We start from the raw sequence: 22,507 nt of genomic DNA on the forward strand, positions 1-22,507 counted from the left end.
GGACATCCCAGGCTCAGGTAAGCCACCACGACCGGCCTGATGAGCTAGTTTTGAAAAAATATACTCTGTTTATAACTAAGAAGAACACGGAAAGGGATTTTAAGCTAGTCATTTTCACTTAAGAACACAAAATCTGCCTGTAAAAAAAATTACATTTTGAATACTTAATAACTTGTTATAATTAAAACAACTGCAGGATTACAAATGTTTCAGTACTCAGGACCCTTTAACAGTAACTACCTTTTATGGTAACGATTCTTTGTTTCTAAAAAATTTTTTTTTAAAAAAAGGACCAAAACCAGTAACAGATAGAATTCTTAAGATTATGTGTAAAGTGTCTTCCCTTCTGTTTTCAATGAAAAAAAATATATATGTACATATATATACTTTAAACTACTAAAATTATGGCTTAGAACTTTCTTGATCAACTATACTGGTGACAGCTAAAATGACTTAATTCAAAGGAAAACACATACCTCTCCTAAAGAAAGAAAGCTGTTAAAAAAAGTTCTAATTAATTTACATTTTCCCCACCAGGTCCTATTCTAAGCCAAAAACTAAACAATCAATATTTCCTAACAACATTTTTAGCAACTCAATATTGTGTATAGAACATTTCCCTTAAATTATATATAGTTAATATAAGTTTTTATTGAAATCATAACTTTTCATTTATATTTGAATAATCATTTCCCCCAAAGACATATTTACCTTCAGCCAGTGCTGGTGATTCTGTCCTTGTCCTTCTATCTGTTTAAGGAAAGAAAAAAAGGAAGAAAGTCTAAAACATTATTATACTTTAAAACAAGTTTTTATTACAGTTAACTTTAAAGTTTACGAATGCCATCATGCACGTGCACATTTTATACATACACACATATATTTATTTATTTCCTTGGATTAACTCAACCACCATTTATGGAGGACCTATTTAGAGTAAGGCATCATATTAAGCCCTGGAAACAACAATAGGTAAGACAACCCAGTTGTCACCGTCAACATACTCAGAGAGTAAAAAGTGTACGAAGACAAGTACACAATTCTCATCATAGCTTATGAAGCAAAGGGTAAGAAAAGGAAAGTTAGTTATTCCTCTTTAGTCTTACAGCAGGGGCCTAAAACTATGAAAAGAGGCATATTTATATTTCTTATCACAGTTTAAGTTCATTCAGTTTCAATGTATTAATAATCAGTTTTACTCAAGGTATTAAAATCCTTATTCCGTGACCATAACCTATTATTTGCCAGGGACACATTTGGCAAAATTCAAGTGAACCACAAAGCCCTCTCTAGGATTGGTTTTATTATTTCACTCATTCATTCATTCATTTCTGCAGAAAGAGGGTCTCGCTATTTTGCTCAGGCTGGTCTCCAATTCCTGGTGCTCAAGTGAGCTTCCTGCTTTGGCCTCCCATAGTGCTGGGATTACAGGCATCAGCCACCATGCCGGGCTTGGTTTTACTATTTCAAACACACAATTTTAGGTAAAATGGAATCTTCAGAATGAGTATAACTTTGCAAATAAGGTTATAAGAAGCAAATAAAGACATTAACCCCTTGGAGAAGAAGGTATGGATCACTCTATCAGGAAAAAGCCTCATGTTTTCACTCTAGCTGAGGTACCTCCTCCTGATTGTACTATCTGTGGTTCACTTTCTGCTCTGGGGCTTTGCAATAGGAGACGTCTACAGGAATTCTTCAGCTATCCAGAGATATAAACAAACCTGAAAATTTGAAGGTGTTAACACCATGGGCAACCCTTGACCAACGAGAGATGGGATCTAGCAAATAAATACCACCTTCTTCCCAGCAAAAGGCATATCTTTATTGCTTTCTCACAGGGCTTCCTCAGGATCAAGCCCCAGTTGCTCACAGAAGTGAGCAGCTCAATAACGCACCCTTGGATTGGCGTTCCCTCTTTCCTAGTTCACTTGTTCCAGTCCTTCAACTTCTGTTTCTTGCTAACAGGTGTGCAAATGAATTACCTGTAAGAAAGCACCCATCTCAGTTTCTGCTTTTGGAGTGAAACTAGGTCAAGACACTTGATTTCCACAATACCATAATCCCTTTTCATCCTACCTCACTGGATGCTCCTTCTTAATTTCGACTACGCTTTCTTGCACACCCCATATTCCACCCAAACTCTCACTACCTAAAATCCTTGTGCCTACTATCTCCTACTAACTCAAGGCAGAAGATTCTGTTGCCTGAGCATTATCAGATCTACTACTACTTCATATTGAAGAGACTAGAACAGAGGTTGCAAAAATGCATATGGAGTTGGCTGGCTGAGGCCACCTTAGGTAAATGTTAACCAGGCAAATAAACGTGTGTGTTTATCTAAATGGTGCCACTGCTATCAACATGCCATGCTAAAAATACAGGTGATACAGAGCTCAATATCCATGTAAAACAGATTTTAGACATTAGCAACTAATGAAATAAGTCAGACACTCAACAGGCCAAATGAAACAGTCTAAGGGCTATACGTGCATGAACCACCAGTTTGCAACTTCTGCTCCAGAACCTCACGTTGTCTACAATTTATTTTTTAATTAATTTATTTATTTGAGACAGAGTCTCACTCTGTCACCCAGGCTGGATTGATTGATTGATTGATTGATTGATTGATTTTGAGATGGAGTCTCACTCTGTCACCCAGGCTGGAGTGCAGTGGCGCTACCTCAGCTCACTGCAAGCTCTGCCTCCCAGGTTCACGCGATTTTCCTGTCTCAGCCTCCCAAGCGGCTAGGACTACAGGCGCCTGCCACCATTCCCCGCTAATTTTTTGTATTCTTAGTAGAGACGGGGTTTCACCATGTTAGCCAGGATGGTCTCCATCTCCCGATGTCGTGATCTGCCCACCTTGGCTTCCCAAAGTGCTGGGATTACAATCTTTCACTTTTCTCTATGAGTTAGTTCACAAATGGGAGTCACGTTCAAAGCCTAACTGTTCTAGCTTTTCTCAAAAGCTTGCCTTGGATCAATATTACTAGAAGTGAAATGAATAAACACTTTTTTTGCTTTTTCTGCCGAAGATAAAACTTCCTTCCCTAAGGCCCACTGCAGGCTCCCAGAAATAAACAAAACAAGTGGCTTGACTGACCACTTTTATAAACCACAGCAGAAAAACCAGTGCCACTTTGCATAAAATCATGGGGGAAAATTCAATTATTTATTCTTAATAAATCAAGACACAATAAAACACTTGTAACTGTATTCACCCTTAGAAATCAAATATCAGGTCATAAATAGTAAATATTAATTAATATTTAAATTGGATCATCCAGGCACCTAAAATCTACAAACCTAGAGATTCCTCAAGTTAAGTGTTAAAATTTACTTGCCTCCATACAAACAAATGGAAGAACATTCCATGCTCATGGATAGGGGAAAAATCAATATCGTGAAAATGGCCATACTGCCCAAGGTAATTTATAGATTCAATGCCATCCCCATCAAGCTACCAATGACTTTCTTCACAGAATTGGAAAAAACTACTTTAAAGTTCATATGGAACCAAAAAAGAGCCCGCATCACCAAGTCAATCCTAAGCCAAAAGAACAAAGCTGGAGGCATCACACTACCTGACTTCAAACTATACTACAAGGCTACAGTAACCAAAACAGCATGCTACTGGTACCAAAACAGAGATATAGACCAATGGAACAGAACAGAGTCCTCAGAAATAATAGCACACATCTACAACTATCTGATCTTTCACAAACCTGACAAAAACAAGAAATGGGGAAAGGATTCCCTATTCAACAAATGGTGCTGGGAAAACTGGCTAGCCATATGTAGAAAGCTGAAACTGGATCCCTTCCTTACACCTTATACAAAAATTAATTCAAGATGGATTAAAGACTTACATGTTAGCCCTAAAACCATAAAAACCCTAGAAGAAAACCTACGCAATACCATTCAGGACATAGGCATGGGCAAGGACTTCATGTCTAAAACACCAAAAGCAATGGCAACAAAAGACAAAATTGACAAATGAGATCTAATTAAACTAAAGAGCTTCTGCACAGCAAAAGAAACTACCATCAGAGTGAACAGGCAACCTACAAAATGGGAGAAAATTTTTGCAATCTACTCATCTGACAAAGGGCTAATATCCAGAATCTACAAAGAATTCAAACACATTTACAAGAAAAAAACAAACAACCCCATCAACAAGTGGGCGAAGGATACGAACAGACACTTTCAAAAGAAGACATTTATGCAGCCAAGAGACAAGAAAAAATGCTCATCATCACTGGCCATCAGAGAAATGCAAATCAAAACCACAATGAGATACCATCTCACACCAGTTAGAATGGCAATCATTAAAAAGTCAGGAAACGACAGGTGCTGGAGAGGATGTGGAGAAACAGGAACACTTTTACACTGTTGGTGGGACTGTAAACTAGTTCAACCATTGTGGAAGACAGTGTGGCGATTCCTCAGGGATCTAGAACTAGAAATACCATTTGACCCAGCCATCCCATTACTGGGTATATACCCAAAGGATTACAAATCATGCTGCTATAAAGACACATGCACACGTATGTTTATTGTGGCACTATTCACAATAGCAAAGACTTGGAACCAACCCAAATGTCCAACGATAGACTTGATTAAGAAAATGTGGCACATATACACCATGGAATACTATGCAGCCATAAAAAATGATGAGTTTAGGTCCTTTGTAGGGACATGGATGAAGCTGGAAATCATCATTCTCAGCAACCTATCGCAGAACAAAAAACCAAACACTGCATGTTCTCACTCATAGGTGGGAACTGAACAATGACAACACTTGGACACAGGAAGGGGAACATCATACACCGGTGCCTGTTATGGGGTGGGGGGAGGTGGGGATAGCATTAGGAGATATACTTAATGTAAATGACGAGTTAATGGGTGCAGCACACCAACATGGCACATGTATATGTATGTAACAAACCTGCACATTGTGCACATGTACCCTAGAACTTAAAGTATAATTTAAAAAACTATATATATATGAAAAAAAAAATTTGCTGGCCTCCAGCAAGACATGAGTTATTACTTCAGACCATTCTGTCAACCATGTTTACAGCTCTGTAGTATTTCAAATGATGGTACCTATGATGGCCTGGTGCAGTGGCTCACGCCTGTAAGCCCAGCCCTTTGAGAGGCCAAGGTGGGTGGATCACCTAAGGTCAGGAGTTTGAGACCACCCTGGCCAACATGGCGAAACCCCATCTCTACTAAAAATACAAAAATCAACCAGGCATGGTGGTGCATGCCTGTAATCTCAGCTACTCGGGAAGCTGAGGCACAAGAATTGCCTGAACCTGGGAGGCAGAGATTGCACTGAGCTGAAATCACACCATTACACTCCAGCCTAGGTGACAGAGTAAGACTCTGTTCAAAAAATAAATAAGTAAGTAAATGGTGTTGAAATAACTCCATGGAAAACTAAGACAGACCCTTCTCAAACTATACATTACACATGGATTTGAGTTTAATTTCTCAAAACTAAATCTCAGAAAATAGAACAAAGAATCTTACTTATCTTTGGAGGAATAATATGCTAAAATATAAAGCACTATAAAAAATTTAAAATGGAAAGATGAATCAATCATGTAAAAATTAAAGATAAGGGATACCAAAATGTCTTAAAATAGTTCATGGGAGTGTATATAAATCACATGAAGACAACAGAAAAAAATAAACGATAATTTGTAACAGGGAGGCAAAACAATAAATTATGAAAAAAATGTATACTCCCTAATAATAAAAAGCAAATATGGTAAAATGGTTTAGAGAACTGGTTCTGAAATCAGGCTTGGGTTGCATTTCCAATTATTTAAATTATTAAGTTATTTGAGCATCTTTATTTGTAAAATGCAGATTTTCACTTATTTAAATTAGGTTATCTATGCATCCTTTTCCTTTGTAAAAGAGCAAAAATAAACTCAAAGTGTGTAGATTAATGGAAATGCTAGTTTTGCTGAACATGGTCATTACCTTTTGTATTTAATATTTAATATTAAAATTACAATAATATGTATCTCTCTACTGACACTAAATCTCAAGTACAGTACTCTTAAGAAAACCATGTCTAACAGCACCAGAACTCAAACACCTGAGGATTCCTCTATGTCATCCTACACCATGCTTACTACCACAAAATAGTTTGATCAGAAGAAAGCACAATGGTTACATTAAGAGCCTCCCTCCTTGATATACCTAGAACTACATTTTCTATATAAAAACAAATACCAAGGCATATATGATACATATAAATCTTAATACTGCGCAAATATTAATACTAAATATTAATACAATATCAATACATTCTTTTTTTATAAAGATTTTAAAAAAATGTTTTTAAATAAAATAGAGATGGAGTCTTGCTATGTTGACCAGGCTGGTCTTGAACTCCTAGCCTAAAGCAATCCCCCCATCTCAGCCTAGCAAAGTGCTGGGATCACAGGCATGAGCCACCATGCCTGACCAAGAAATTCTTAATCTCTATTGTAAACCCATGCTCCAGAAGATTTGAAATACCAACATTTCTAATTATCTCTAAAGTTTTTTTTTAATTACCTCCAGGAAAAAGTAAATTGCAGTAACAGTTGCCTAGGTAATGCCAGGCTTTCAGAACATGACTTGATTTTTGTAGAGTCTAAAAAGTTTTTACAATCTTAATTTTCCCCTTTATTATAAGGGTAAAACATGCTCACTACACAAAATACATAAAGAAAGTGGAAAGAAACAAGTACCACTACCTATAATCCCACAACCAAAGCTTTAACAATTTATTCTCTTCTAATTTCTTTTATGTATATTTTTATACAATTTAACACCCTTTCTTTGTATTTGTACTGCTTTTTATCATTCACATCATGAGCAATATTTTCACATCATTAAAAACTCTGCCAAAATACCACTTTTAGTCTTTACATACCAACTCATCATATGGTTGTACCACATTTTTTCAAGCATTTTCTCACTGCTGGACATTCAGGTTTTTCTAACCTTTTGCTCTTTTAAACGATGCTATATGCCCAAGACTTCCATAAGCACATAAAGACTTTGTGAGATTAGAAGAAGTTATCCCAGTCTAATATAAAAACGTTTATGAACTATTATTTTATTACACAACCTCAACAACTACACAATATAGCTCTGCCTGGGTTGGGGTTTAAGAACCCCAGCAAGCAAACACCCTGGCTGTGCATACACATGCCCCTGCACACAAGGGTCACGCTCTTGCCTACTGACAAACATAATCCCTGAACATTAAGGCACATAAACATACCTAAGCCAGTGCCAGGCACCCTTGCCCCAAATTTCTCAAATGAGACTACCAGATCAGTTTCTGTCAGACTGGAGTGGTGGGCAAGTTAGCGAAAGACATCACCTCAGGGGATGCCTGGAGTCTGGAGCTCAGTCTGGACAAGACCATGCTGTAACCACCTGCATGGACAGAGTGTCCTCACAGGAGCTCTCCAGAGTCTTCGCATGCCATAGGTGCTAGTATGGGTTTATGTACCAGGCAACTTACTGTAACCTGGAACTCCTGGCTCCAAGATGTGGCCAGAAGGCCCAGAATCCCTTCACTCACCCACGGTCTTCTCAAAGTGACATGTCTATCTCATGTCTGATACACCCACAGGTGTGGCACCCCTTGTGCAGAGGGCCATGTGAACACCTTGAATAATTATCTTAGCTATGAACATATATCTTTGTTGAAATAACTTAAAAATGTTTAGGATACATCAAGGTCTTTATACCTAGTGCCAAATTGCTGTCCAAAGATACATTCTAATTAACACTACCATCAGAATGATGCACTGGCCAACTTCACAGCATCCTTGACAAGTGGTGCCTTCTTTCACTTTTTTTTTTTTTTTTTTTTTTTTTTTAAAGAGACAAGGGCCAGGTGCAATGGTTCCTGCCTATAATTCCAACGCTTCAGGAAGCTGAGGTGGGAGGATCACTTAAGACCAGGAGTTTGAGAACAGACAAGACAACATAGCAAGACCATATACACACAAAAATTAAAATGAACAGCCAGGTCTAGTAACATACAACTGTCGTCTCAGCTACATGTGTGGCTGAGACAAGAGGATGGCTTAAGCGCAAGAGTTCAAGGCCACAGTGGGCTATGAGTGCCACTGCACTCCAACATGGGCAACAGAGCAAGACCCTAATTCTAAAAACAAACAAGAGAAACACGGTCTCGCTCTGTCGCCCAGGCTGGAATGCAGTTGTACAATCATAGCTCACTGTAACCTTGAACTCCTGGCCTCAAGGTGTTCTCCCTCCTTGGCCTCCAAAAGCGCTGGAATTATAGGCATGAGCCACCTTGCCCGGCCTCTCTCCCATTGTTTTGTTAACTACTGAGGCCAGCTATTTTTTCCTCCACAATTGTGTAACTTAGTCCTTCCCATTTTCTATCAAGGCCTTATGTATTTTTAAGGAAATAACTATCAAATCTGAACTTCCTTGATCAGATACTCAATATAAATGTATAAAGTGAGGTACAGTCTTTTAAAATTGTCCCTTTCTACTCAGCTGCCTTTTTCTAAGTACTTCCTATGTTTTAGACACTGTACTGCATGATATATTTCACATAAGCCTGTGAACCTAATAGGTTAAAATTAAACCCTTTTCATTGATGAGCAATCAGAGGCTTTAAAAGGTTAAGTAGTTTGTCCAAGGTCATGACTAGAGGGTAAGGAATTGGGAAAAGGAGCGGAAGGGACAGAAATGAGGAAGGGAACAGAGGGAGAAAATTACTTTTCAGGAAACAATCTTGTTCAATATTTATTATAATATTCCTTTCTGTAGATGTGATTTCTTGTAAAACAAATACTACTTTTCCACTAACTTCTTTTATTGTAAAATTAAAAATGATTCTTTAAAAAAATAACCCACGGCCGGACGCGGTGGCTCACACCTGTAATCCCAGCACTTTGCGAGGCCAAGGTGGGCGAATCACGAGGTCAGGGGTTCAAGACCAGCCTGACCAACATGGTGAAACCCTGTCCCTCCTAAAAATACAAAAATTAGCCCGACTGTGGTGGTGTGCAAAAAAAAAACAAAAATAAAAACAAACAAAACCTACAACAGCAATAATGCTGTTTTCAATTATGAAAAACCTGAGGCAAGGGCTAAATTAAAAGGCTCACCAGGCTTTGAGGACATTATACAGAACCTTCTTACTTCTGGATCTCCTGGTTACTGTCAATATCTTGCCCTGATTACTGACCATCTACAATGGGACTTTTCTGATACTTCAACTCAGCTAAGTTTTGGAACATACAGCCATGGAGAGACTGTAAAATGCATTTTTGATGGCAGGTGCTGCAATCGTGCTAACCTAAAGATTCCACAGGTTTAAGATACGTTCTGTGAAAACAAGTAAGTACCTTATTTTGCAGCTCTATAAGCTCAAACTCTGTAAAATTAAATGCTAGTTAAAAGAAAGAATTTTTAGTGTTCATTTAATCTACCCCACATGTTCAAACCCCCTTATAACATTTACACACATAATTTTAAAGGAATGGTAAATACAAACAGAGGTAATAACATAAGGCAAATAAAGCTTTACAGTTTATATATATACACGCTCCAAATTTACCCCAGGTTCGATTTCATAAAAGATCAAATAGTTGAATTTATACATCCTGCTAAATATATATATATATGCTCCAAAATTATCTGAAGTTGCAAACTGCACTAGCACTGAAATGACCATTCCTTCCAGCTTCTCACCTGCTTCACCACTCCCCCAGTACCACTCTCTCCACCTCTAGTCCAATGCTGCAGTTATCTGAAATTACAAAGTTTTTTTTTTTTTTTAATTATGACCAAGTTTGGCTTACCTGAGAAGTGCAAGGTTGGTTCAGAATACCTACTGTTTTCACCACCCTAACAGATTAAAAGAAAAAAGCCATATAATTACCTCAAAAGATGCACAGATGCACTCTGGGGTTGGGGGAAGGGGAGGACTGGGAACAGAGAAGGTGCATTTCAATGAAAACAAAGACTTGGGTTTTTTAAATTTGCCTTTATTTTTATTTTTTTATTTTAGAGACAGGGTCTTATTAGGATGCCCAGGCTGGGGCTTTCTTTTCTTGCAAGTCATTTTTTTTTCAAACAATTCTATATGATAATCAACAGGATGAACTAATGAAGGCATATTAAAGAGTGGTTCAGGTAAAATGATTCAGTGAATTCCTAATCTGTGTGTCATGTTTACGGTGACAGAAAACAAGTGTGTTCTCTACTGCTGTTAAAGTTATCTCTACTGCTGATAAATTTAAATACAAAGCGCAAAAGTGAATCCTACAATGCAATACCATGACTTTCAGGAATCTGCTTCACTTTTTTTTTTTTTTTTTTTGAGACGGAGACTGCTCTGTCACCCAGGCTGGAGTGCAGTGGCATGATCTAGGCTCACTGCAAGCTCCGCCTCCTGGGATCACATCATTCTCCGGCCTCAGCCTCCCACGTAGCTGGGACTACAGGCGCCGGCCACCACGCCCGGCTAATTTTTTGTATTTTTAGTAGAGACAGGGTTTCACCGTGTTAGCCAGGATGGTCTTGAACTTCTGACCTCATGATCCACCTGCCTCAGCCTCCCAAAGTGCTGGGATTACAGGCGTGAGCCACCCCTGGAATCTGCTCCACTTTCAAAATCATGCCTACATAAGCAGAAGCTCTTGAGATAAACCTTGTCTTTCCCCACAGTGTTGTAATTACAGTAAAAGCTTTTCCATAATAATCAGAACTAGAAGTTGTTCAATTAATTGCAATTATTGATAGAAACATTTAAAATACATACACGTGCATTCATTAGCTAATCCTTTTTTAAGAAAACCAAAGCACATTCTTCAATGACAAGCCATTGCTAGAGTATTTTCCAGCCACTATGATCCAATGTTTTTGTAGAAATTACCAGAGGAGAAAAATATTTAATTTTTAAAAACTTACAAAGTGGAAATTCCAATTCTTCACAGACTACGTGTGAACAGTTCATGGACCAGTGCTGGTTTGCAAAGTGCGCTTTGAGTAGCACTAGTATAAATAAAGCACGGGCTCTGGAGCCAAACTGTGAGCCTCACCCTTGGACAAGTTTCTCTCTCTCTAGTGGGGATAATATTAATACCTACCACCTAATTGGGTTATTATGAAGATTAAATAAGAATATGTCTAGCATTTAAAACTGTCCCTGCCAGATAAGGACTCTATAAATGAAAGTTGATGTTATTATCATTATTACTATTGTATAGACCATAACCATAAATACACTTTTTCTAAAATGTCTAGTTTTTGTCTTTTTTAAATGTAATGAGAAATGAAGGTACTGAAAATACAGAATTCTTTATAGTTTTATCCTTTTCTCCAATTTTTTATATCCTGATCCATGACCAATCATATCACTTCTTTTAAAGTGAGTCACTAGTCACTGCATACCTGTTATTCACTAAATGTACAGGCTGCAGAGCAGTAGCTGTCCTGTGTTACTTCCCTGTCCCCAGTGACAAATCCATGAGATACTTTTTTTTTAAATGGGCAACTGAAGGAGAGGATTTGCCAACAAAGACGAAAGTGAAGCAAAGAAACAAAAGCGATAATGCTGGAAATAAAATTCTAATGGAATATAAATGGAGTTACAAAAGAAAGAGTTGACTGTGAGAATGGTGACACCGCTGCCAACAGGGAGACTAAATATGCAGCCAGAGGAACCTTCTGAAGGTAAACTGATCAACATAAGAGAGTGGTTATGGTGAAAAGGATGACAATGTCTCAGAGGAAGTCATGCCAGCAAAAATCCTTCATATTAAAGGAACTTTTACATATACTTCTTGATATTCACAATGTAATGGATAAAATGTTTGAAGCTGATTCAAATTTAGAAGTATTAACAACTTGTCCAAGGCCTAGAAATGATGCTCACTCCACACTGTACAACAGGGAAGAAGAAACCAGGCACAGTTCTAATTACTCTTGAAAAGATTTTTACAAATAAATAAAACACTTTAGTTTTCAAGGTTTAAATTACACTGTACTAAGTAAATACTAGTTTTACTGTTTTATCCATTTCCCTATACATTTTGCAACAATGAGAGTTATGTTTTGACGAAAATTTCTAAAAATCATGAACAACATAATTTCTAAGATTGCTTTGCAAAATTTAAGTCTGCACAAGTATTTTTACATTCCACAGCACAAAATGAGAACTGCCTGTATACACAACTTTCACAACCTAAGAAGGAAAGCAACTGAATCTAAAAACAGGCAAAAGATTTCAACAGATAATTCACCAAAGTTAAATGGACTGCAAATAAGCACTTGAAAAGATGCTCAACACCATCGGGCACTAGAGAAATACAAACTGAAAACATACCAGATGGCTAAAAAAATACTGTAAATGACCATACCAAGGGCTGGTGAGAATACAGTGCAAATGAATTCCTATACACTTGTGCAAAGCCACTTTAAAAAGTTAAATATACACCTTCAATATGACACAGTCATTCCATCTACGTATTCATCCAAGAAAAATGAAAGCATTATGTTCATACAAAGAATCATACACTAATGTTCATAGCACTTTACTTGTAGTAGTCTCAAACTGCAAGCAACCCAAATGTTCATCAACAAATGAATGGACAGACTGTGGTATTTCCATATGCTAGAATACTATTCAGCAATAAAAGAAACAAGCTACTCACACATCCAACAATAAATATAAATCTCAAAATCACTATGCTGAGTTGAAGAAGCCAGATATAAAAGAATATATATTGTATGAGTCCTCATATATAAGATTCTAGGAGTTAAGTCTGGGCAACACAGTGAGACCCTGTTTCTAAAAAAATTAATTAATAAAAAAGTAAGATTCTAGGAAACGCAAACTAATATAAGGACAGAAAGGGCACAGGTGGTTGACTGGCGTCTAGGGGCAGGTAGGGTGGATAGATTTGAAGCAGGCAGGAAAAAACTTTGAAGGTGATTATGTTCATTATCTTGATTGTGGTGATGGTTTCATAGGTGATTAACTATGTTGAAGCTCCACAAACTGTATGCTTAATAAAACTTTTAAAAATGGTCCATGGACCATCTGCATCTGCCAAAAATGTGGATTCTCAGGCTTGCCACAACCCACTAAATTTTGTGGGTCAAGCCTGAGAAATTGCATTTTCCAAGATCCACATTACTCTAAGGTATGTATTTACTCTGTAATCTAGAGGATCTAATGCCTAGAGTCTCCAGAAGAACTATCTCACTCAAGCTTTAGAACTTAAGACATCTTATTACATTCGTATTTATATTTTAACTTTGAAATCTGATATATAGGTGATCTCTGAAATAGTTCAATAAAAGAAAAAAGCCCATAGAGACAAAAGTTTTAAAGCTAAAAATAAGCTTTATGATTTCAATTTAAAATCATATCTTGTCCCAATTCCATTTCACAAATGGGAAAGTTGAGACCCAGAAAGGTTAAATTTGGGCAGAGTCAGTAATAAAATGCAAATCTTCTATTCTACTTTCTTCTGAAATGAAATTCTATCCAACTTTCTTCTACAAAGGCTTCTATTCCTCTGCTTTCAATTTCTCCTAAATTCATATTTATTCTTTGTCATTTCCGTAGCTCAGATTTTTATGCTCTCACTCCTAACTACTGCAATAATCTCCTAAATGGTTAACCTACTTCTGTAGTTCTCTCCCCACTTTATTTCTATCACACAAATACCTGAGTACCTAATATTAGTCAAGCACTATAAGAGACACTAATTTTATCTCATCACTGCTCTATTAAAAAAAAAAAACTTCTAATAGCTCCCAATACTCTTCAGGATACATTCTCAAACTGGCACACTTAGGAATGAATATCCATTCTGATTTCAGGCTACTCCTAATAAACATGCTACTAGAGCAGAGCCCCCTAACAGCCTATGCCCATTCCAGTACTGAAATCTGTTTCCTCCTAAAAAGGCATTCCTTTCTTCCTTCTAAAAAGATTCTTATCCTTAAAGGGCCAATTTAAAGCTATTCCTGCTTTCAACAGGCTTTTCCCGAGGACTCCAGCCCACATCAATCCCTATAATTCTAAAGCATTTTCATCCAATAGTACACTGCTACTCATTGGCTGCAGATGTTAGTTGTATAACTGAGGGAAGATAAAATTTGTTTCTCAAGTCTTTTGTACCCTATTTAATATGCAGTGCTTAAGTATTTTACAACGAAGGGAAACAGCATAGCATATATAGGTAGAAAAGTTTTAGTCTAGAGGCTTTGAAACCAGTCAAATACCAGTTTGAATCCTAGTTCTGACAATTACCATAACTCAGGATCACACAGCTAGTAAGCATTAGTTTCCTCATTTGTCAAATGGAGTTAACAGACCTTACAGCACTGTTGCAAGCATTAAATAAGATTCAATGAGAATGCATGTTTACTGCTTAGGAAAAATCACAAACATTCACTTAGTTGTAGCTATTATTAGCAACACAGATCAAATATCCACCATGTGGCAGATATTGTACTAGGTTCTAGAAACACCAAACTGTTTAAGATTTAAGCGCTGATCTTAAAGAAGTTTATGTATTAATACATACCAATACCATTCATCCATCCAAGTTAGAAAACACCAGTCATCATTCTTACCTGTACTGTAAGACCTGAAAAACCTGACCATTCTATTTCCTGAAGACCTCTACTCACACAACCACTGAACTAGCAGTTCAAGCCAGGACTCCTACTATAGCCTATTTGGGTCTCACTACTCCACCTCTAATCTTTTCTAACTAATTCTCCATAATGTTATTAGAATAATCCTTCTAATGCAGAAACCTGATCACATATCTACACATCATCCTTCCCATTAGTCTATATCTGTAATTGTAATGGCATAGGACACAAAGATCTCAGGCTGACTCAATTCTTAAAAAAAAATTTCCAAGATTTCTCTTAAATATCTTGGCCAGGTGCAGTGGCTCAAGGCCTGTAATCCCAGCACTTTGGGAGGCCAAGGCGGGCGGATCATGAGGTCAGGAGTTCGAGATCAGCCTGACCAACATGGTGAAACCCCATCTCTACTAAAAATACAAAAATTCGCCGGGCATGGTGGCGCGTGCCTGTAACCCCAGCTACTCAGGAGGCTGAGACAGGAGAATTGCTTGAACCTGGGAAGCAGAGGTTGCAGTGAGCCGAGATCGCACCACTGCACTCCAGCCTGGGTGACAGAGCGAGACACCATCTCAAAAAAGAAAAAAAGTCATTTTTATGTATTGTTAAAGCAGCTTTTTAAGAAATTTAATTATTTCTTTAAATACTTCAGTTGTAGTTTTATTAGAAAATCCACCCTACTACTGCAGTGATTTAATAACAAAAAAATTGGAAAAAGAAAATCCACCCTAACTCGTATTACTTCATTTTCACGTGTTTACGAGTGACCACTGGCCAGTACGTACTATCAATAATGGCTGCCCACCACAATTATCCATGGACCACCACCACCCTGTTTTTAACTATGCATGCCACAGAGCTACCACAGCAGATTCTTATTCACCAAGCCTACGGTACACCATGGTATTTGTTTTTTTAAGAAGCCACACAATGTTTCTAATATATAGCCAGGATTGCCCAATCCCAGATTGAGAAACTTTACATAGAAAAGTGACCAGATATGATAATATTGCTTTGTCTATCTAAAGCAGGGGTCTGCAAACCACCCACAGACCATGCCTAATCCCATGGCTTTTTGTTCTACCCGCACACTAGAATGCTTTTTACGTTTTCTAAGGGTTGAAAAAAGAAAACAACAATCTTTATCCTGAAAGTAGTTAATGACTTCCTGTGGAAATAATACTTGCATATATAAAAAGTAACGAATTCATAATAATTCTGTCAACACCAAAGTATTGTTACAGACTACAATTACAACAGAAATTTAGAGAACAGGACAGTGTGAGATAAAGGTATATTCCATGTGTGAGTTAAAAATCTTCTCTGTAGGCCTCACAGCACATCATATCACTCATCAAAACGCTGGACCCTTTCCCATGACTCAAAGTGGCTACCACAGGCTGTTCATTGTTATCATACTCTGCTCTGCACTAAGCACAATGCCTGAAACATCACAGTCTCCAAAGTATAGATGCTGAATGAGTGAATAAGCAAACATCATAAATAATATAAGTACATTAGAATAAATGCAACCCGTCTAAAGTTAAGGTTCCAAAAGGCTGTCATTCTGCTAAAATGATTTGTTTGGGGAAAAGAGAGATAAGGAGAGGTCAATGTATCGTTAGCAGAAAACTGGTAAAATTTAGAAAAATATGTAATTTCTCCTATTAAAAATTAAATAAAGAGACTTCAAATGAAATACTCTAAGGTGTGTCCACCACCGTTTTACAGATAGTTTTTAAATTATTTTATTTTACTTATTTTTTTAAGAGATGGGTTTTTGCCACGTTGGCCAGGCTTGTCTCGAACTCCTGGCCTCCAGTGATTGGCCTCGGCCTTCCAAAGTGCTGGGATTGTGGGTGTGAGCCACCGTGCCCACCCAGCCTACAGATAGATATAGTTTTTCTGGACTGATAAAACTCAGTTGCACCAATAGGCATAGATAACCACTTTGGAGTGATATTATATATCTGATATGTGGTAACATATATTACCGCATGTCTTGGTAGCAATAGAACAATAGATTTTAAGACTATGAAAAATACTTTTGTCACATAGTGTTAAAAACGTCCTCAAAACTCAACAAAGATCAGTTACAGACTCCCAATAGGCCAGACATTCTATGTATGGCAAAGTACAAAATGCTGTGTAAAAACAAGATCTGCCCTCATAAAGCTCATAGTCTATGAGATGACATGTAAACAAATTACTACAATACAGTACAATTAAATAAAATGCTATGCTGGAGTTCTGTGGTTAAACTGCTATGGGAAAACAGATGAGGGAGTAATTTCATTATGTCTAGAGGAGAATGTCAGAGAAAGCTAGAGAAGTGAGATGTCTGGGTGCCTTACATACTTAAAAAAACACCAGTACTACTAACAACTTCCAAAGACATTTTTATATGCTTCAAATTAAGTCAAATAACTTAATTTTAAGATTTATGTTAGCATATACACTAAACTGGAAAAGGAAAATCTTCTCCTATACAAAGCATTTTAATTACTACCTATGATTGTTAACAATGGGGTAACATAATAAAATAATACTAAAATCCTTAAGAAAAAGGCTTTATTAAACTGAGACTGAGACAACTCCAAGAATTCAGAAGAACACCGGGTAAGATTTTTCAGTCCTAATAAATACAAAACTGCACTGATTTATTCAATAATTTCTATCCCGTTTGCTATCCATGTTTGAACCTTAATCTGTTTGCCCTTCTGTTATTTCTATTTATTGGATAGCTTATATAATTCCAAATTTGGACTATCAAGTCTGAACTTACAAACCAAATCAGGGGAAAACACTTTCAAAAAAAAAAAAAAAAGTACTATTCTAAAAATTACTCTTTCATGGTCAGAGTATATATTTATGTAGTAAACCTTTATCTTTAAAACATGTAAGTCCAGCCTGTTAAATGTCCTATGAAGTGGTTCTTTCTTGTCTATCTTCTCCTCTTTTAAAAACTACCTTACATGTCTTATGAGCTTTTCTCCCAAGTGCTCATTAGTAGCCACATGGAATCTAATGGGTTCAACAGACAAGACATCAATACACACAACTATAAATATATCATATCAGATAGGTTCATTTCTCAAAAGAGCTCATAATTCTTCAGTAGAAGAACTTTATTTTTCCTAACATTTAGAAGTTTCATAGAGATAATTAAGTAGAAATCATTCAGTATTTTCAGATTTTGGCTATTTCTTTATTTCCTAGACTTAAACATCTTAGTTTAAATGATTTTTAACAGATAGTCACCCACAAACAGAATGAGTGCCATAACTGTACTTCAACTGCTATGTAACAGACTTCCATATCATCAGTAATTTTTAACTAGGTATTTCAGACTGGAAAAGATAAATAAAATTTGATTTTAAAATAAATTCTGAAACCATTAACTCATAACATCCTGGATGTTTTACCTTCTGCTACCCTACTCATTCACTAATTTAATACCTTACAAAAACCTGTACAGTTTAGAAATTCCCCTATCCCCTTTCATTTGATTTCCACCAAATGTAGGAGCACTTACGTATTCTAGATTTCACTGTTTAGTTTACTATTTGCAGTATCTAGGAATTCATTTTATCTACAGAGATAGATTTCTTGAACAAGAGACAAAATTTTAGTCATTTGGGAAGTAGACCTTGCTTCCTTGAATTAACAGAAAAAATATTAAAGTGCAAGAATAGGAAAAAAATTGTAAGTACTAAAACCACAAAAATGGAGAAAAATGTTGATCTATGCTAAATGATGTACAAGAAAATACTGATCACCGAAGTGAACAGATCATCAATATTTATTTTAGCCATTTCTTTCAGCCTTCTTCCTAATGTACCTTTTACTCAGACATAAGTCTTATCTATTAAAAAATAAAAGTTAAATTGTATGTAGCCATCATTTGTCACCTTTGCAGTCCATATTGGAGAATGACTGTTAATGCTTCTTTTCAGAATTTGAGATTCATAACAATTTACTTATCTTTCCTCTACACTATTAAAAACTGAAACTAAAACAGGAAGGTTTTCTTCTTCCCTAACTTCTTGATAATAACTAATAGCTATTATTCAGATATACATTAACAGCCATTATTTGAGTGTATGTCCTCTCCTATGTTAGGCTACTCAGTGAAAAGTTTTGGGCAACCAGATATTCACATGGTTTCAAAGTATCACCAAACCGAGACCTTTTACAAGGTCTCACTCTCTCGCCTAGACTGGAGTGCAGCGGCACGATCACAGTTCACAGCAGCCTTAATCTCCCAGGATCACACCACCACACTCAACTAATTTTTGTATTTTTTTTGGAGAGACAAGGTTTCAGCATGTTGCCCAGGCTGGTTGACACCATCTTAATTGAAGGATAAAATTTAGTATCACCAAAAATGTGACAGACATTATATGCCTGATGATGTAATGCAATGGGATGTATTCAACATTACCCTATGTAATAAACTTGTCAGGTATATATAAACTGATTCTATTTATCAAGAAACAAAGCAGACAAATCTTGATTATGAAATATTTTCTATCAGACAGCTTGCCTGGATGAAAAGGAGCAGGTGTGAAGATTAAAAAAAGAAGAGGAGTTCAGTTTTGGACATGTTAAATTTGAGAGGCTTATGAGCCACCAATCTGAAGATGTTGAGAAGGCAATGATGGATACAGAAGTATGGAGTTCAGGGAAGAGGTCAGATCACAAATACTTTATCTACACCCCAGGACTTTGTATCCAAAGACCAAGGACACTTGAAATGGTTCACAGTGGCAACAGTAAGAGACCAGTGGCCACACTGCACTAACCACACTGTTATGGTAACATAATCTGGGCAGTATTTTCTTGCTGCTCATCTGCCTCTGGTTATTGCTCATTTTGTGAAGCTGGGTTCCCACTCTCTCCATCAATTCTGTAACCTACCTGTCATCATCCCAACAAATTCCTTTTATGTCCAAATTACCTAGTCAGTTTCTGCTATTTGCAACCAAGGACCCGTTAATGAATTATGAAGAATATTCCAGTCTCGAATAGAAAACTGTAATTTCCTTCCCAATTTAAAGCCATTCCTACAAACAAGCAGAATTTATGGTACAAATATAACTCTAAAGTATAAATACACATAATAAAGATATTCAAAAATTAAAGACGGTACAGATCAGTTTTTTGAGATATTTAAGAGGTCCCAGGATAATTAAAAAGAAAACTTTGTTTCAAAACAAAATTTGAACATTATTATAAAAGTAGAACACCCAGAAAAAAATGGCAAAACACCAAGATCATTTAAAAAATATCTAATAAAGGCCGGGCGCGGTGGCTCACGCCTGTAATCCCAGCACTTTGGGAGGCCGAGGCGGGCGGATCACGAGGTCAGGAGATCGAGACCAGCCTGGCTAACATGGTGAACTCCTGTCTCAACTAAAAATACAAAAAATTAGCTGGGTATGGTGGCAGGTGCCTGTAGTCCCAGCTACTCGGGAGGCTGAGGCAGGAGAATGGCATGAACCTGGGAGGCGGAGTTTGCAGTGAGCCGAGATCGCACCACTGCACTCCAGCCTGGGCGACAGAGTGAGACTCCGTCTCCAAAAAAAAAACAAAAAAAGATGCTTTACTTTGTTTTATACATTCCAAACTACTCCTACTAAGAATAGTAATGAAAAAATTCTCCGGCCGGGCGCGGTGGCTCACTCCTGTAATCCCAGCACTTTGGAAGGCAGGGGTGGGCGGATCACCTGAGGTCGGGAGCTCTAGACCAGCCTGACCATCAGGGGAAACCCCGTCTCTACTAAAAAAAAAAAAAAAAAGAATACAAAATTAGCCAGGCATGGTGGCACATGCCTGTAGTCCCAGCTACTTGGGAGGCTGAGGCAGAAGAATCGCTTGAACCTGGGAGGCAGAGGTTGTGGTGAGCCGATATCGCGCCATTGCACTCTAGCCTGGGCAACAAGAGCAAAACTCTTAAAAAGAAAAAAATCTCCACCTAAGTCTACATTTATGTATGTATGTATGTTTGAGATAGAGTTTCGCTCTTGTCACCCAGGCTGGAGTGCAATGGTACAATCTCGGCTCACTGCAACCTCTGCCTCCCAGGTTCAAGCGATTCTCGTTCCTCAGCCTCCCAAGTAGCTGGGATTACAGGCGCTCGCCACCACACCCAGCTAATTTTTGTATTTTTAGTAGAGACGGAGTTTCACTATGTTGGCCTGGCTGGTCTCAAACTCCTGGCCTCAGGTGATCCACCCACCTAAGCGTCCCAAAGTGCTGGGATTACAGGTGTGAGTCACTGCACCCGGCCAAGTCAACCTTTAGTCTCTTATTTCATACACTTCCCTCACACGTCAGTAAAACTACTTTTCATTCTTTCTAAAAACTTTTCACATTTCAAATCAAAAGTATAATTGTTGGCTATACTAAAGATTAAACATTTCTTACATCCTTGATAGTACACCATTTATGTACTAAACTCCCTACCTCCGTTTAGTATTTTTAAGGAATACATTTTGAAGAAGTAAAACATGAAAAAGAGTAAAAACACTTAATAGGGAATATTTGCTTTAAGGAGGAAAAAAGTACGAACATATGTGAATATCTAGTATGTACCATGCATTCTGCTATAGATGATAATTTTTTTTTTAAAACACTGCAAAACCGGTGATGTTACCTTTTTACAAAAAGTAAATGAGGAAAATGAATTTCAAACACTGGTTTAGGCCAGCTGCAGTAGCTCATGCCTGTATCCCCAACACTTTGCAAGGCTGAGGCAGGAGAACTGCCTGAGCCTAGAAATTTGAGACCAGCCTGGGCAATCAGTGAGATTCTATCTCCACCCCAAAAAAAAAAAAAAAAAATTAGCCAGGTGTGGTTGTACATGTCTGCTGTCCCAGCTACTCATGAGGCTGAGATGGGAGGACTGCTTGAGACCAGGTCAAGACTGCAGTGAGCTATGATCATGCCACCACACTGCAGCCCAAGCGACAGAGTGAGACCTGCCTCCAAAAAAAAAAAAAAAACCGGGGGGGGGGGGGGTGGCGGGGGGGGTGTTACTTACCTCACATCAGTGCTAATAAGAGGTCAGTGTCAATAAGGGGTAGATCTGTTTCCAGAACAGATCTGCCTATCCCAAAGTTGATGCCACTTTATTCACAACAAAATGCCTCCATGAGCACATTCTTCGAAAAATTCATTCTCATTAATTTTTTTATTAGAAAAACAATTGTAACCATTATACTGAACAAGCCGAACCCGTGGGATGTAACTATAAAAAACAATTTTTTGTCCACGACTAGCCTTTAAAGTTACTCTGTAGCCATAGTTAATGTCCCTGAACTTTCATTTAGGCTAATGATCATGACTTTGGTCACTCCCAAGTTATAAAAACAATCTGACTTTTAAAACTGAAAGATCCAGCTGGGCATAGTGGCTCCCACCTGTAATCCCAACAATCTGGGAGGCTGAGACAGAGGATCACTTAATCCCAGGAGCTGGAGACCAGCCTGGGCAACATAGGGAGAACCCGTCTCTACAAAAAAATTTAAAAAAATAAAAAAACTTAGCCAGATGTGGTGGTGCATACCTATAGTCCCAGTTACTTAGGAGGCTGACGTGGGAGGATCACTCAGGCCTTGGAAGTCGAGGCTGCAGTGACTGAAAGATCTTTAGTATAATCGTCAAATTTTTCTCATTTAAAGTTAGTTTCTCTGCTTTCCCAGCTCAGCCCTACACAGTACAAGAGCACTACACGCTTTTACTCCACTCCTTTCCACCTTGCTAACCTTGGGTGGGGCAATTATGTGCTATCAGAGAGCTTAGACACTTTCATGACTCAAAA

The 22,507-nt window shown here is 37.6% G+C and overlaps 1 protein-coding gene across 82 annotated transcripts in view; it reads right to left on the reverse strand.

Annotated features, from left to right (window-relative positions):
- CYRIB (CYFIP related Rac1 interactor B) overlaps positions 1 to 22,507 on the reverse strand; it is a 177,537-nt gene that overhangs the window by 63,008 nt on the left and 92,022 nt on the right. For 37 of the 82 annotated variants that reach the window (NM_001353270.1, NM_001353245.1, NM_001353274.1 and 34 more), the window contains 2 exons: positions 1,899 to 1,985; positions 712 to 750 (listed from right to left, as the gene is read on the reverse strand). The exons of 4 other annotated variants lie outside the window; for them this stretch is intronic. Coding sequence is in view for 2 of the 78 variants with exons in the window: in XM_047421855.1 (XP_047277811.1) it covers positions 712 to 750; positions 9,870 to 9,915 (85 nt within the window). In the remaining 76 variants the exon portion in view is untranslated. Of the gene's footprint in view, positions 1 to 476; positions 496 to 711; positions 782 to 1,898; positions 1,986 to 9,759; positions 9,818 to 9,869; positions 9,916 to 22,507 lie in introns of all 82 variants that reach the window. 41 more of the 82 variants (NM_001353269.1, NM_001353252.1, NM_001353305.1 and 38 more) reach the window with 7 other exon arrangements.

This window comes from Homo sapiens, chromosome 8, assembly GCF_000001405.40.
Source record: "Homo sapiens chromosome 8, GRCh38.p14 Primary Assembly".
Classification (NCBI taxonomy): domain Eukaryota; kingdom Metazoa; phylum Chordata; class Mammalia; order Primates; family Hominidae; genus Homo; species Homo sapiens.